Consider the following 14,275-nt stretch of genomic DNA (forward strand, 5'->3'; position numbering starts at 1 on the left):
GCTGGTCTCTAACTCGTGACCTCAGGTGATCCGCCTGCCTCAGCCTCCCAAAGTGCTGGGATTACAGGCGTGAGCCACTGCACCTGGCTGACAAAATTTTTTAAACAATGACCGCTCTATTGTAGCTAAATACCAGAGAAGACTATACCTCTACCCCTACTAGCAAAGGCCAACTAGAGAGACTTCCACCCTTGCCAGCCTGTAATAAGACCTCTAGTTCCCTGATAGAGTGGTAAGATGAATGGGGAGTGGGAACATTCTAGTCCCCTCAGTTAGTAGAGACTATGTGGGGAGCCTAGATTTCCACCCCTAATGAGTGATAATGAGGTGCCTCTCCCCTAACAAATGGTGTGGTATCAAGAGGAAGCCTAATGAAGAGTCAGGTTTTTATCACCACCCAACAGTAACAATGATACCTGTCTATCAGTGGTCTCAATGGAGGCCATTTGGAGAGAAGTAACTGGGCACCCAGTCTCTCCCAAGCAGAGTGGTACTGGTAAAAGCTGGAACTGTCACTTAGCCCATGGTGACAGGAAGCTCCTCAACCCCAGGTATCAGTGGAATCTGAGTATGGAACCTGGACTTCCACCTACATGTGGTAAAACAGAAGATTTAAATAAGACCCAGATCTTCATAACATAATATGCAAAAATATCCAGGATTCAACTGAAAATCACTTGTCATAGTGAGAACTGTAATAATCACAACTTGAGTGACAAAAGACGGTCAACACACATCAACATCAAGATGGCACAGTTATTAGAATCATCTGACAAAGATTTTTAAACAGCCGTCCTAAAAATGTTTCAGTGAGCAATTGTGAACATGCTTAGAACAAATGAAAAAAAGGATGTCTTAGCAAAGAAATTGGAAATCTCTAAAAGAAATCAGAGATATAAAGAAAAATTAATAGGAAATTTTAAAACTGAAAATTTTAATACATGGACTTTAAAAAACAAACCTCAGTAGATGAACTCAACAGCAAAATAAAAATAACAGAAGAATTAATCAGGGAACTTGAAGATAGAACAATAGAAATTATTCAGTCTGAATGACAGAGAAAAATATACTGAAAAACAAAACAACAACAACAAAAAACAGAGCCTTAGGCACTTGTTGGACTATTACAAAAGATTTAAATATGTGTCATTGTAATCACAGAAGAGAGAGAGAAGAGGTACTGAAAAAGTGTTGAGAGATACAATGGCTGAAAATGTCCCAAATTTGGGGGTGGGGGAGACAATCCCACAGATTGAGTGATTCAAGAAGCTGAGCAACCCCCCAAGAAGATACGGTCAAAGAAACCACTTTCAAACTTCTGAAAGCTTAAGACAGAACAAAAAATCTTGAAACCCACCAGAGCAAAATGACACCTTACCTATAGAGAATACCAAAGCAATGACAGACAGAAGCTCTCTCATTAGATACCATAGAGGCCACAATATTTTTCAAGTGCTGCAAGAAAAGACTCATTAACCTGGAATTAAATACCCAATGAAAATAAAATACCCAATGAAAATAAAATATCCTTTAGTAATGAAGAGTAAATCAAGACATTTCCAGAAGAAGGAAAACTAAGAATTTGTTTCTAGCCTACCTATCCTAAAATAATGGCCAAAGGAAGTTCTTATAAAAGAAATTAAGAATTCTAACAATTGTTCAAAGAAGGATGAACAGCATTTCTACACAATCTCATCCAGAAAATAAGAGGAAACAACTTCCATTAATTCTATGAAGTCAGTCTTACCCTCATCCCGAAACCAAAGTACACGAAAGAAACTTACACATTAATATGTCTCACGAACATAGACGCAAAAGTCTTTAACAGAATATTAGTAAGTCAAATCCAGTGTTGTAGAAAACGTTATACACCATGACCAAGTGGAATTTATTCCATGTACGGTTCAGCATCCATAAATCCAGCAATGTAATCCATTATATCAACAGGCTAAAGAATAAAAGCCATTATCATATTGATTGACAAAGAAAAAGCATTTTAGAAAATCCAACAGTTCATTTTTGCTAAAAACTGTCAGCAACCCACTAATAGAGAGTAACTTCCTCAATTTGATTTTTTAAGATATGCACTAAACCTTCACCTGGCATCAGACTTAATGGTGAGAGACTGAATTTCTCCTTGCCATCAGGAACAAGGTAAGTATTTGCACTCACCACTGCTATCAAAATAGTATTGGGTTGCTGGATCATATGACAGTTCTGTTTTTAGTTTTTTGAGGAACCTCTATACTGTTTCTAAAGTGGCTGTATTAATTTACATTCCAAAAAAAATGTATGAGTGTTCCTCTTTCTCCACATCCTTGCCAACATCCATTACTTTTTGTCTTTTTGGTAATAGCCATTATTAACTGGAGAGAAATTATATCTCTTTGTGGTTTTGATTTATATTTCTCTAATGACTAGTGATGGTGAGCATTTTAAAAATATATTCCCTTGGTCATTTGTATGCCTTTTGAGAATTATCTATTCAGGTCATTTACCCATTTTTAAATTGGAGTATTTGCGGAGTGTGTATGTGTGTGTGTGTTTCTATTGAGTTATTGGAGTTCCTTATATATTCTGGTTATTAAATTCCTTGTCAGTTGAATAGTTTGCAAATATTTTCTCCCATCCTGTAGGTTTTCTCTTCACTTTGTTGATTGTTTCCTTTGCTGTGCAGAAGCTTTTTAGCTTGATGTGATCCCATTTGTTCATTTTTTCTTTGTTTGAGGTGCTTTTGAGGTCTTACTAAAAAAATCTTTGCCCAAACCAATCCCGGGGCACTTCCCTAATGTTTTCTTCCAGTACTTTAATAGTTATAGGTCTTATATTTAAGTCTTTAACCCATTCTGACTTGATTTTTGTATATGGTGAGAGATAGGTCCAAAAGAAAGAAAAATCAATATATCAAAGAGATAACTGGATTCTTGTGTTTATTGTAGCACTATTCACAATGCCGAGATAGGGAATCAACCTAAGGGTCCATCAGTGGATGAATGGATAAAGAAAATATGGTATATATGCACAATGAAATATTATTCAGCCATAAAAATAAGGAGAGCCTGTCATTTGCAGCAACATGGATGGAACTGGAGGACATTATATTAAGTGAAATAAGCTAGACACAGAAAGACAAATATTACATATTCTCACTTATATGCAGGAGCTAAGGAAAATTTGATTTCATGGAAGTAGAGAGTAGAGTGATGATTACCAGAGGCTGAGAAGGGTGGGGGGTGGGGAGCTTAAAGAGGGGTTGTTTAAGGGGTACAAAAATACAGTTAGATAGTAGGAATAAGACTTAGTAGTCAGTAGCACAATACAGTGACTATAGTTAACAATCATTTATTGTATGTTTCAAAATAACTAGGGGAGTGGATTTGGAACGTTCCCAATACAAAGAAATGATAAATGTTTGAGGTGATGGATATCTCAGTTACCCTGATGAGATCATTATACAAGATCATACCCTGATGAGATCATTATACATCATATACATGTATCAAAGTATCACATGTAACCCATGAATATATACAACAAATATGTATCCATAAAAATTAAAAATTAAAGGTAAATCTAAGCATGCTTCTTAAAAAACAAAGCACAACAAAAAGCAAAATAATAATGGAAATTCTAGCCAGCTCAGTAAAGAAAGAAAAGCAATACAGATCAGAAAGGAAGAAATAAAACTCACTATTTCCAGATGTCATGATAGTATATGTAGAAATTCCCAAAATCTACAAAAAAAAAGAAAAAATCTCCTAGAACTAATAAGTGAGTTTAGCAGGTCACAGGGTACAAGGTCAACTTACCAATATCAATTTTATTTCTATATCCTAGCAATGAGCACGTGGAAATTAAAAATAGAATACTGGGCTGGGCACAGTGGCTCACACTTGTAATCCCAGCACTTTGGGAGGCTGAGGCGGGAGCAATCACTTCAGCTCAGGAGTTCGAAACCAGCCTAGGCAACATAGGGAGACCACATCTCTACAAAAATTCAAATAATTAACTGGGCATGGTGTCACGCACCTGTGGTCCCAGCTACTTGGGAGGCTGAAGTGGGAGGATCGCTTGAGCCCAAGAGTTGAAGGCTGCAGTAAGCCATGATCGCACCATTGCACTCCAGCCTCAGCAACAGAACAAGGCCCTGTCTCAAAACAAAGAAGAAAAAAAAGAGAATACAATGACTCAAAAAAAAAAAAAAAAGGTGAAATACGTGTAAATTGACAAAACATATGCAATATTTCTATACTAAAAACTACAACGTTAGTGAAGAAATTAAAGAAGAGCAAAATAAATGGAGAAGCACATATCGTCACATTCATGGATTGTAAGAATCAATGTAAAAAATGATATTAATTTTCCCTAAATTGATACACAGTTTAAGTGCAGTTCCTATCAAAATCCCTGCAAGATGTTTTGTAGCTATAAATAAGATTATCCCAAAATATATGGAAAGACAAAAGAACCAGAATAATACATAAAATAATTTTGAAAAAGAAAGATAAAGTGGGAGAAATCATTCTATTCAAATTTGAGACTACTGACTATTATAATCAAGACTGTAGGATTTGATAGATGAACAGACACAGAAAATAGAATAGAACAGAGAACTCAGAAATTGCCTCACAAATATGCCAGCTGATTTTCGACAAAGGTACAAAAACAATTCAAAGGAAGAAGGATCACCCTTTAATCACCCTGTACTGGCCTGACTGGATATCCATAGCTCTGACACCCGCCCCCCTGCCCCCTCCCCGCTGCCAAATGAACTTCAGCTTAAACTTCACACCTCATTAAAACTTAATCTCAAATGGATGACAGACATCAATGTAAAAATTAAAACCATAAAACTTTTAGAAGATATTGTAGGAGAAAATTGTGAGGTACTAGGGCTTGTTGAAGAGTTCTTAGAAATGAAATAAAACCCACAATCCATAAAAGGAAAAAAAAAAACCAATAAATTGAATTTCTTCAAAATTTCCCCTGCAAAAGTCTCTGCAATCTGGGAGAAAGTATTTGCAAACCATATATCTGACAAAAGACTCATACATAAAATACATGAACTCTCAATATTCAACAGTAAAAGAGAAAAGAAAGAAAACAATGCAATTAAGGGTAATGGGGGCTGGGAAGGAGGTGGGGATGGTTAATGGGTACAAAAAATACTTAGAAACAATGGATAAGACCTACTACTTGATAGCACAATAGGGTGACTATAGTTAATTGTACATTTTAAAGTAACATAGTGTAATTGGGTTGTTTGTAACTCAAAGGATAAATGCTTGAGGGGATGGATTCTCAGTGATGTGCTTATTTTACATTGCATTCCTGTATCAAAACGTCTCATGTACCCCATGAATATATATACCTACTATGTACCCACAAAATTTTTTTAATTAAAAAATAGGTAAAAGGCATGAAGAGGCATTTAATCAAAGAGGATATATGGATGGCAGAAAAGCACATGTAAAGATGTTCAACATCATTAGCCATTAGGGAAATGCAAATTAAAACCACAGTAAGATATTACTACACACCTATGGCCAAAATATACTGACACCAGCAGATGCTAGCAAGGATTTGGAGAAACTGTATCCTTCACACATAGCTGGTGGGAATGTCAAATGGTATGATCACTCTAGGAAAGTTTGGTAATTTCTTGTAAAACTAACATGCACTTACTATATACCCCAACAATTGCACTCTTGGGTACTTATCCCAGAGAATTGGGAACTTAGGTTCACACAGATACTTGTACACAAATGTGTGTAGCAGCTTCATTCACAGTAGCCCAAAACTGGAAATGACCCAGATGTCTTTCAGTGGGTGAATGGTTAAACCAACTGTTGTAGCACCTCTATACCATGTAATAGTACTCAACAATAAAACAAGAAACTCTGATACACAAGACAACTGGGATGCATCTCACAGGCATTATGCTGAGTGTGAAAAAAGCCAATCTCAAAATGTGACATATTGTATGATTACATTTTCATGACCTCTTGAAATGATAAAATTATAGAGATGGAGAACACATTAGTGGCTGCCAGGGGTTAGGGATGGGGGCGGTGGAGGAGGGTTGGTTGTGACTATAATGGGGTAGTAAGAGGGAAATCTTTGTGGTGATGAAATAGTTCTGTGTCTTGATTGCTGTGGTGTTTGTAGAGACTTCCACATGTGATAAGGTGATATAGAACTATATACACATATTGTACCAATGTCAGTGTCTTGGTTTTGATTTTGTACTGCAGTTACACAGATGTAACCATTGGGGAAGCAGATAAAGGGTACATAGAACCTCACTGTACTATCCTCGCAATTCCCTGTGTATCTGTAATTATTTCAAAATAAAAAGTTTAAAAAGTTTTTTAAAAGCAGAATTAATAAAATATTACCTAAAAGCAGTAGGGCATCAGTTATATTTCAAAAATCATGTCATAGGGCCGGGCATGGTGGCTCATGCCTGTAATCCTAACACTTTGGGAGGCTGAGGTGGGTGGATCACCTGAGGTCAGGAGTTCTACACCAGCCTGGCCAACATGGTGAAACCCCATCTCTCCTGAAAATAGAAAAATTATCCGGGCGTGGTGGTGGGTGCCTGTAATCCCAGTTACTCGGGAGGCTCTAGCAGGAGAATCACTTGAACCTGGGAGGTGGAGGTTGTAGTGAGCTGAGATCATGCCACTGCACTCCAGCCTGAGTGAAAGAGTGAGACTCTGTCTCAAAAAAAAAAAAAAAAAAAAAAAAAGCCATATGTATTAGCTGGTTGGATACCATTGCTGCCGCTACTGAACAGTGGACACCGGATGTTAGCCCTGCCACTAATGCTGCCCCTAGAAACTGGATTTTCTTGTGGCTGCTGCTCCCACCACCACAACTATGGTGGTGAATTCCATCACTGCATATTTGAATCACTCCTTTGAAACAAAGTGTTAGGTCTAAGTTGTAACTGCAGTGAAAGGGTTGTACTCAGCAGGTCTGCAATGTTCAAACCCTATGCTTTCCAAAAAAAGGTCTTTTGCAAAGAATGCTTTGGCTCTTGACCAGCTCTTGGGAGATAATCTGTAAGCCCTTGGAAGTATCCTGCCTGATCAGAGTGTCTTTGTTTACTGTGGCCTTGGCCCACACTGGATAGTTTGTGCTAACAGTGTGATTTGTGGTGTGAGCCTTGGGCTGAGAGATACTAGTTTAACCTCTGCATGGACTAGAGACTGAATAACTAAGGTCAACCACACAGGTGCTCCATGCCTATCTGACTGAACCCCAAAAACAACTCTGGGCACCAAGGCTTGGGTGAACTTCCCTGGTTGACAGTATTTCATACATGTTTTCACACATCATTGTTGGGGGAATTAAGCACTGGCCATACAACTCCATTGGGAGAGTACAACTGAAAAGTCGTGCCTGGTCTCTCCTGAATTTTTCCCTATGCACTTTTTACTTTTGCTGATTTTAATCTGTATCCTTTCACTGTAATAAACAATAGCCATAACACTTTTTCTGAGTTCTCCGAATCCTTCTAGCAAATCATTGAATCTGAGGATGGTCTTCAGGAGCTTGCCACACTGGTAAATCCTAGATCACATTCTCTTAGCTGCCAAGGGCATGTGAAGAAGTGAATATCTGGCCTTTGTGGCTTTTGCACTTGGAACTGTTAAGTAAGAATATATATGACCTTACTAAAATGTTAAAAATCGAAATACATCTGGCCCCAAGGGTTTTCAGTAAGGATCTATAACGCTATATAAAGAACTCCTAAAAGTCAGTAAGACAGACAACCCAAATGAAAAACAGGTAAAATATACAAGCATATTACAAAATAAATCTAATATGTTCATTAATGTATAAAAATGTGTTCTACCACATTGCTTATCAGAAATATAAATTAAAACCATAAGGAGATACCAATAAATACACATAAGATTGGCAAAAAAAAAAAAAAAAAGGAAAAGTCTTGTAGAGTATGTCAGTCTTACTCCTGGGCTTCTGGTGTCACGGAAATAAAGACAAACATTAATTATTAAAGTATAAGAATACATGTACAAGTATTTTTATTGCAATGTTGTTGTATTGCCACGCTCCCCACAAAAATCCTGAAACTAAAATGGATTCCATCCATGGGGGAATGGTTAAATACATTGTGGTACATTCTTACCATGGAATATTATGCAGTCATTTAAAAGAACGAATCACAGGTAGACTGTTGTCAAATAAGATAATTCAGACACATAAAAGTTCATGTAATCTTAAATTTGTAAAAATAAAAAACAACTTTTGAGTATGGAAGGATATCAAATGGTGTTAAAAACAAGTGTTTGGCAGGTGAAGGTAGAATTGAAAGGAAGTGGGAAGCAGTAAGGAAAAGAATGCAATTTAAGGTCTGGCATATATAACACATCATTTATGTAACAACATATATGTGTGTAAAGTATGAAAAGGTAGCACCAAATCTAAGCAATTGTCCAAGGTGATGAGATTTAGTGATGTTTATTTAATTTCTAAAATATTTAGGCAGTGTTTGAATGTATAGTGATGAGTGTGCATTATTTGTATAATGAGGAAAAATAAGTGAATTGATCACAGGAAAAATTGCCTCTCAGGTTTCTTGCTTTAGCAATGGGATGGAGAGTGCGATTCATTCATTTAACAAATATTTATTGAGGATATAAAAATGTGCCAGGCATGGTTCTAGGTGCTGGGGAAACAACAATGAATAAAACAAAAATCTGTCTCCCTAAGAGGTTTACACTCTAAATGGGGGAGAAAGGCATAACTAGAGGAGAAACACTGTGTTGGTGGGAAGGAGGAGGCGTATGAAGGAATCGGTTTGGGACCTGTTAATTTAGAGAATACTGAGAGATATCCATTTGGAGAAGTGAGGTAGGTAGTTACTATGGATCTAGAATTCATAGGCCAAGTCATGACCGAAGATACAGATATGGAAACAGATAGCATAGAAAATGGTGTTTCTGACCTCCTTTCCTGAGTCTGATCACGTCTCACTGCAGACACTTTACAGAGGAAGTGCTGAGGAAAAACAGGCAGCTGACAGAGGAGGTTGCTATGCAACAGATGAGGAAAGTCATCCAGCCAGGCAGAACTGATGTTGGCCCTTGGGGACCAAATGCTGCAGTCCTTCCTAGCATTAGCTTCCTTTCATGTTCAGGCTTCTGGCATGAGTTGATGCCAGAACAAATGTGAACTGCACAAAGATCTGTCTTGAATTTTGGAACTGTACCAGTTTAATTTGAGTCACCTCACATCTGTATTTAATTTTCTGCCTTTTTGAGTTTCTCCAGTTATCCTGGAAGCATAGCAGCGTGTGTGTCCTTGGGTAGGACCCACTTGCTGTGCATTCCACTTTGCACATTGAGAAACCAGGCCCAGAGAATTGAGTGACCCGTGCGGGCTCACACAGCTCGAGACAGACAGGCTGGGCACTCCATTCCTGGAATTCTGAAGCCCAGCCCAGTTTCTCTCCATAAAACCACAGCTGCCCCAGGCCCCAGCCCTGAAAGGAACCAGGGCTTGCCATGGCTCAGACACACAGGTCTGATTGTCCTGGCTGCTCCAGTGGGCACCAGGAAGGCCTCAGGGACAGTGTGATTGTATCCCTGATAAGGAAGAGGCCTGATGTTCTGAGCACAGAGTGGACCCCAAGGAGCAATTCCCACGCCTGGATGGACCCACACAGGGCAGGGGGAGGGTGGGGGCCTCTGCTTGTGTCCTCCTGAATGCAGAGCATGAGCTTGGGCCTCCTAGAACACAAACTTTGCTTGTTTGGTACAAATGGGGTGCCGTGGTCTGTTGCTCAAATGGAGGAGGGAGGGGTACCCTTAGTCCCCAGGCCAGCATGAGCAGAATGTGGGCTTTGGAGTCAGGAAGACCCAGACCCAAATTTTGCATTTTGTTTCCTGGCTCTGTGGCCTTGTCTAGTTCATGCAATGTATCTGTGCCTCAGCTTCCTGATCTGCAAAATAGGGGTGCTGACATCCACTTCCCAGGGCTGCTGTGACAGGAAGACAAGCCCCAGCACAAATCCTGCTGTGATGTACAAGCTGTGCCCTTCCCTCCTTTCCTCCCCCAACACACACAAAATGAGTCCATCACCGGAGCTGCAGAAAGAAAGGGAAGAAACTAACGTTCTTTCTGCGTCTGGGAGCTTGTGGGGGCGGGCAGGGGGTGAGGGAGAAATCATGGAGTCACGTGGCAGCCACAGACTTACTACTACTACTTTGTTAGCTCCAATAGTGTATCCTCTCAGGCCATTCCGTTTCCTCAGCAGAGGTCTAACACTTGTTGCAATTAGAGACCCCAAACAGAGACCTAAGCATGCTGGACAAGGGGGTGGAGATGCAAGCCGGCCTGACAGGAGGGGCCTTGAATAGGGGAGGGACGGAATAGAGACGCATTGCGGAAAAGGTAGGGGGCCGGTGTGTGGGGCAAGGGGTGGGACCAAGAGGCACAGCGCATCTGTGGGGGAGGGGGCGTAGAGGAAGGGGAGGTGCTGTTGTATAGTGTCGACCTGGTTGGTGGTGGGGTGGTGTGTTGGCAAAGGGGGCGGGACCGCCTTCCAGCGCACATGCGCATCATGGTCTCCAGGACGAAGCTTTTGTTGGGAAAGCAGGCGGGACTGACTTTGGCTCTTCAGTGTTTGCGCATGCGCGTAACGTCCTGAGGCGGTGGGTGGTATATTAGGCGAAGAGGCGGGGTCGCCCAAGCTGCCGCGCTGGCATTTTCTCCTGGACAAGGAGAGAGTGCGGCTGCTGAGAGCCGAGCCCAGCAATCCCGATCCTCTGAGTCGTGAAGAAGGGAGGCAGCGAGGGGGTTGGGGTTGGGGCCTGAGGCAAGGTGAGAATTAGCCCCCAGACTGGGCATCTGCCCCCTGGTGCGGGCCCCCATTTTTTTTTATCCCGATCCCTTCACCCTGGATTCTGAATCCCCTTCCACCCCCCAAACCCCAATTCAATGCCCCTCCCGATCCTTCCTGATTCAAAACCCCTGTCCGATCCCTCCCATCGTTCGAAATCCTCAGATTCCTTGACCTCGATCTGTACTGTTAGATGATTCCTCCTGACTCAAAACCTCCATGCAACTTCCCAAATGCGAATCCCAACCCAACCGCACCCCCGCTCCGAATTCAGAACTCATCTGCTTCCCGATCCCCATTTGAAGCTTCGCCCTGTCAGTAGCTTCTCGGGGTTCAGAACCTCCATCTGGACGCCCATTCACTTTTACCGCTCCGATCCGTTCCTCCTCACATTCACCTTATCCGCCCGCACAGTCAGACCACAGTCACCCCCCTCCCAATTAGGTCCTTCGTATTTGCCCTCTGTAGTATAACGCCCTGCCCCTCTCCCACAGCCCCCAGGCTCCGCTCTTGCCAGAGGGACAGGAGCCATGGCTCAGAAAATGGACTGTGGTGCGGGCCTCCTCGGCTTCCAGGTGAGATCTCCACTCCCCACCCCACCATTTCCCCAGCCGACAGTCACCCCTCCCCGCGGGCCTCTTTGGTCTCCCAAACGCCGGGATCCGGTTTGACCCTATTTAGTGACTAGACTCCGTGGGCTTTTCGAATTCCCATCGTTTATCGAAGGGGGGGAGGGGCGTCTCTTTTCAGCCATCAGTCCCTGCTCAGAGAGAGGGGAGACCCTGTTAGTAGTCAGGGCAATCTGCCCAGAGAATGCGGGGTGGGTAAGGAACCATTTTTTTTTTTTTCCAGAATCCTGACGCTTGTAGAGCAGTCTGTCACCCCCTCCCCCAGCCTCCTGCCTCCACCCTCCCTCTTTCTGCATTCCCCACTCTGTGCGACCCCCCTTATTCTCAACTCCGCGATCCGCCTGCCGTCCTGAGCTGCTACTGCACGCCTCTTGGAGCGTCCCCGGCTCCTGTTCGTGCCCACTTTCCGCATACCGCCCCACCCCTCATTTTGCCCTTGCCCTACTTCACCCCTGCCACATGTTTAGTACCCGCCTGGTCCCCCATCGCCCCTCGCGGGCCCCCTAGATCTCTGCCTCAGCCCCCCTGTTTTTGCACCCACCGCCCGCCTGCAGCTCCGCTGCTGCGCTGCCACCCGGGCTCCCTATTCCCACCCCACCTCCTGCCTCAGAGGCCCAGAGATTTAATTTTTTCCCCCCTGTGTTTGCAGGCTGAGGCCTCCGTAGAAGACAGCGCCTTGCTTATGCAGACCTTGATGGAGGCCATCCAGATCTCAGAGGCTCCACCTACTAACCAGGCCACCGCAGCTGCTAGTCCCCAGAGTTCACAGCCCCCAACTGCCAATGAGATGGCTGACATTCAGGTTTCAGCAGCTGCCGCTAGGCCTAAGTCAGCCTTTAAAGTCCAGAATGCCACCACAAAAGGCCCAAATGGTGTCTATGATTTCTCTCAGGCTCATAATGCCAAGGATGTGCCCAACACGCAGCCCAAGGCAGCCTTTAAGTCCCAAAATGCTACCCCAAAGGGTCCAAATGCTGCCTATGATTTTTCCCAGGCAGCAACCACTGGTGAGTTAGCTGCTAACAAGTCTGAGATGGCCTTCAAGGCCCAGAATGCCACTACTAAAGTGGGCCCAAATGCCACCTACAATTTCTCTCAGTCTCTCAATGCCAATGACCTGGCCAACAGCAGGCCTAAGACCCCTTTCAAGGCTTGGAATGATACCACTAAGGCCCCAACAGCTGATACCCAGACCCAGAATGTAAATCAGGCCAAAATGGCCACTTCCCAGGCTGACATAGAGACCGACCCAGGTATCTCTGAACCTGACGGTGCAACTGCACAGACATCAGCAGATGGTTCCCAGGCTCAGAATCTGGAGTCCCGGACAATAATTCGGGGCAAGAGGACCCGCAAGGTGAGATCTCTGCTAACTTCATTTTGCTTTGGGGCTGTCTCCTTTCTTCTCTGAGGGTGTTCATTTGTTCTAAACAAAACAATGTATGTAACTGTATTCAGCTAGGCTATAGGGCATTTGAAGAGAATGTTTATTCCTGTCCTCCGGATGTTCACAAACTGATGGGGAGATAATACATGGACACAAATAATATATACAACCTGTATGTAATTCAGTTTACATTTTGTTATGTTAGTAACCACCATGTGTTAAGCCTTGAGCTAGGCACATTCACACAGGTTGTCTCATTAAACCTTAAAGGCACCTCCTACCAGGTAGGGATCATAGTGCCAATTTTACAAAGAAGGAAATTAAGTGCCAGAGAGGTGAAGTGACTTGAGTGATTTGTTCAGGGTGGTACAGGCAGAACCAGTGGTGGACATAGGAAGAGGAGAAGCCTCAGGCCCCATCTTTGGGTTGCTCCTGGCCTGGCTCGGAGATGAAACTCCTGCCTGGAAGACAGTGAAAGACAAACCCAGGACTCAGGGTGACCAATGGCTAGTGGGTCAGGCTGTCACTACAGGTGAGGGTTTAGAGGGCATTCCTGGAATAGATAAGGTGAGGACACAGAACCCACTGGTGATTCTGAACTTCTCTCTGATGATGCAGATTAATAACTTGAATGTTGAAGAGAACAGCAGTGGGGATCAGAGGCGGGCCCCACTGGCTGCAGGGACCTGGAGGTCTGCACCAGTTCCAGTGACCACTCAGAACCCACCTGGCGCACCCCCCAATGTGCTCTGGCAGACGCCATTGGCTTGGCAGAACCCCTCAGGCTGGCAAAACCAGACAGCCAGGCAGACCCCACCAGCACGTCAGAGCCCTCCAGCTAGGCAGACCCCACCAGCCTGGCAGAACCCAGTCGCTTGGCAGAACCCAGTGATTTGGCCAAACCCAGTAATCTGGCAGAACCCAGTGATCTGGCCAAACCCCATTGTCTGGCCCGGCCCTGTTGTCTGGCCGAATCCACTGGCCTGGCAGAATCCACCTGGATGGCAGACTCCACCTGGATGGCAGACCCCACCGGGCTGGCAGGGTCCTCCAGACTGGCAAGGTCCTCCTGACTGGCCGCTACCACCCGACTGGCCACTGCCACCTGATTGGCCACTTCCCACTGACTGGCCACTACCACCTGACTGGATCCCCGCTGATTGGCCAATTCCACCTGACTGGCAGAACCTGCGCCCCTCGCCTAACCTGCGCCCTTCTCCCAACTCGCGTGCCTCACAGAACCCAGGTGCTGCACAGCCCCGAGATGTGGCCCTTCTTCAGGAAAGAGTAAGAGCTGTAACTCCCCAGTCACTTTTCCCCTCTCTTGCTCTTTTCTTTGTCATCCTCTCATCTGTAATTCAACCAAGTTTTTTTGTAAATATTTTA

The 14,275-nt window shown here is 43.6% G+C and overlaps 1 protein-coding gene across 6 annotated transcripts in view, besides 4 other annotated features; it reads left to right on the forward strand.

The window, feature by feature from the left end:
• The window catches only part of MAGED1 (MAGE family member D1), a 99,279-nt gene that overhangs the window by 79,826 nt on the left and 5,178 nt on the right, over positions 1 to 14,275 (forward strand). For 2 of the 6 annotated variants that reach the window (XM_047442676.1, XM_047442677.1), the window contains 4 exons: positions 2,081 to 2,154; positions 11,368 to 11,448; positions 12,152 to 12,859; positions 13,508 to 14,176. In XM_047442676.1, the coding sequence (XP_047298632.1) occupies positions 11,404 to 11,448; positions 12,152 to 12,859; positions 13,508 to 14,176 (1,422 nt within the window). In that variant the 5' untranslated portion in view covers positions 2,081 to 2,154; positions 11,368 to 11,403. Of the gene's footprint in view, positions 1 to 2,080; positions 2,155 to 10,721; positions 10,855 to 11,367; positions 11,449 to 11,725; positions 11,894 to 12,151; positions 12,860 to 13,507; positions 14,177 to 14,275 lie in introns of those variants that run through there. The other 4 variants (XM_011530835.3, NM_001005332.2, NM_001005333.2 and 1 more) reach the window with 3 other exon arrangements.
• Positions 10,017 to 10,136: an enhancer, noted in NCBI's record as "active region_29639". NCBI's record gives its function as "activates an Ori minimal core promoter by ATAC-STARR-seq in GM12878 lymphoblastoid cells {active_cell/tissue: GM12878}" and the evidence as "EXISTENCE:reporter gene assay evidence [ECO:0000049][PMID:35858748]".
• Positions 10,777 to 10,866: an enhancer, noted in NCBI's record as "active region_29640". NCBI's record gives its function as "activates an Ori minimal core promoter by ATAC-STARR-seq in GM12878 lymphoblastoid cells {active_cell/tissue: GM12878}" and the evidence as "EXISTENCE:reporter gene assay evidence [ECO:0000049][PMID:35858748]".
• Positions 11,179 to 11,228: an enhancer, noted in NCBI's record as "active region_29641". NCBI's record gives its function as "activates an Ori minimal core promoter by ATAC-STARR-seq in GM12878 lymphoblastoid cells {active_cell/tissue: GM12878}" and the evidence as "EXISTENCE:reporter gene assay evidence [ECO:0000049][PMID:35858748]".
• Positions 11,449 to 11,498: an enhancer, noted in NCBI's record as "active region_29642". NCBI's record gives its function as "activates an Ori minimal core promoter by ATAC-STARR-seq in GM12878 lymphoblastoid cells {active_cell/tissue: GM12878}" and the evidence as "EXISTENCE:reporter gene assay evidence [ECO:0000049][PMID:35858748]".

The sequence above is a fragment of the Homo sapiens genome, chromosome X, assembly GCF_000001405.40.
Source record: "Homo sapiens chromosome X, GRCh38.p14 Primary Assembly".
Classification (NCBI taxonomy): Eukaryota; Metazoa; Chordata; class Mammalia; order Primates; family Hominidae; genus Homo; species Homo sapiens.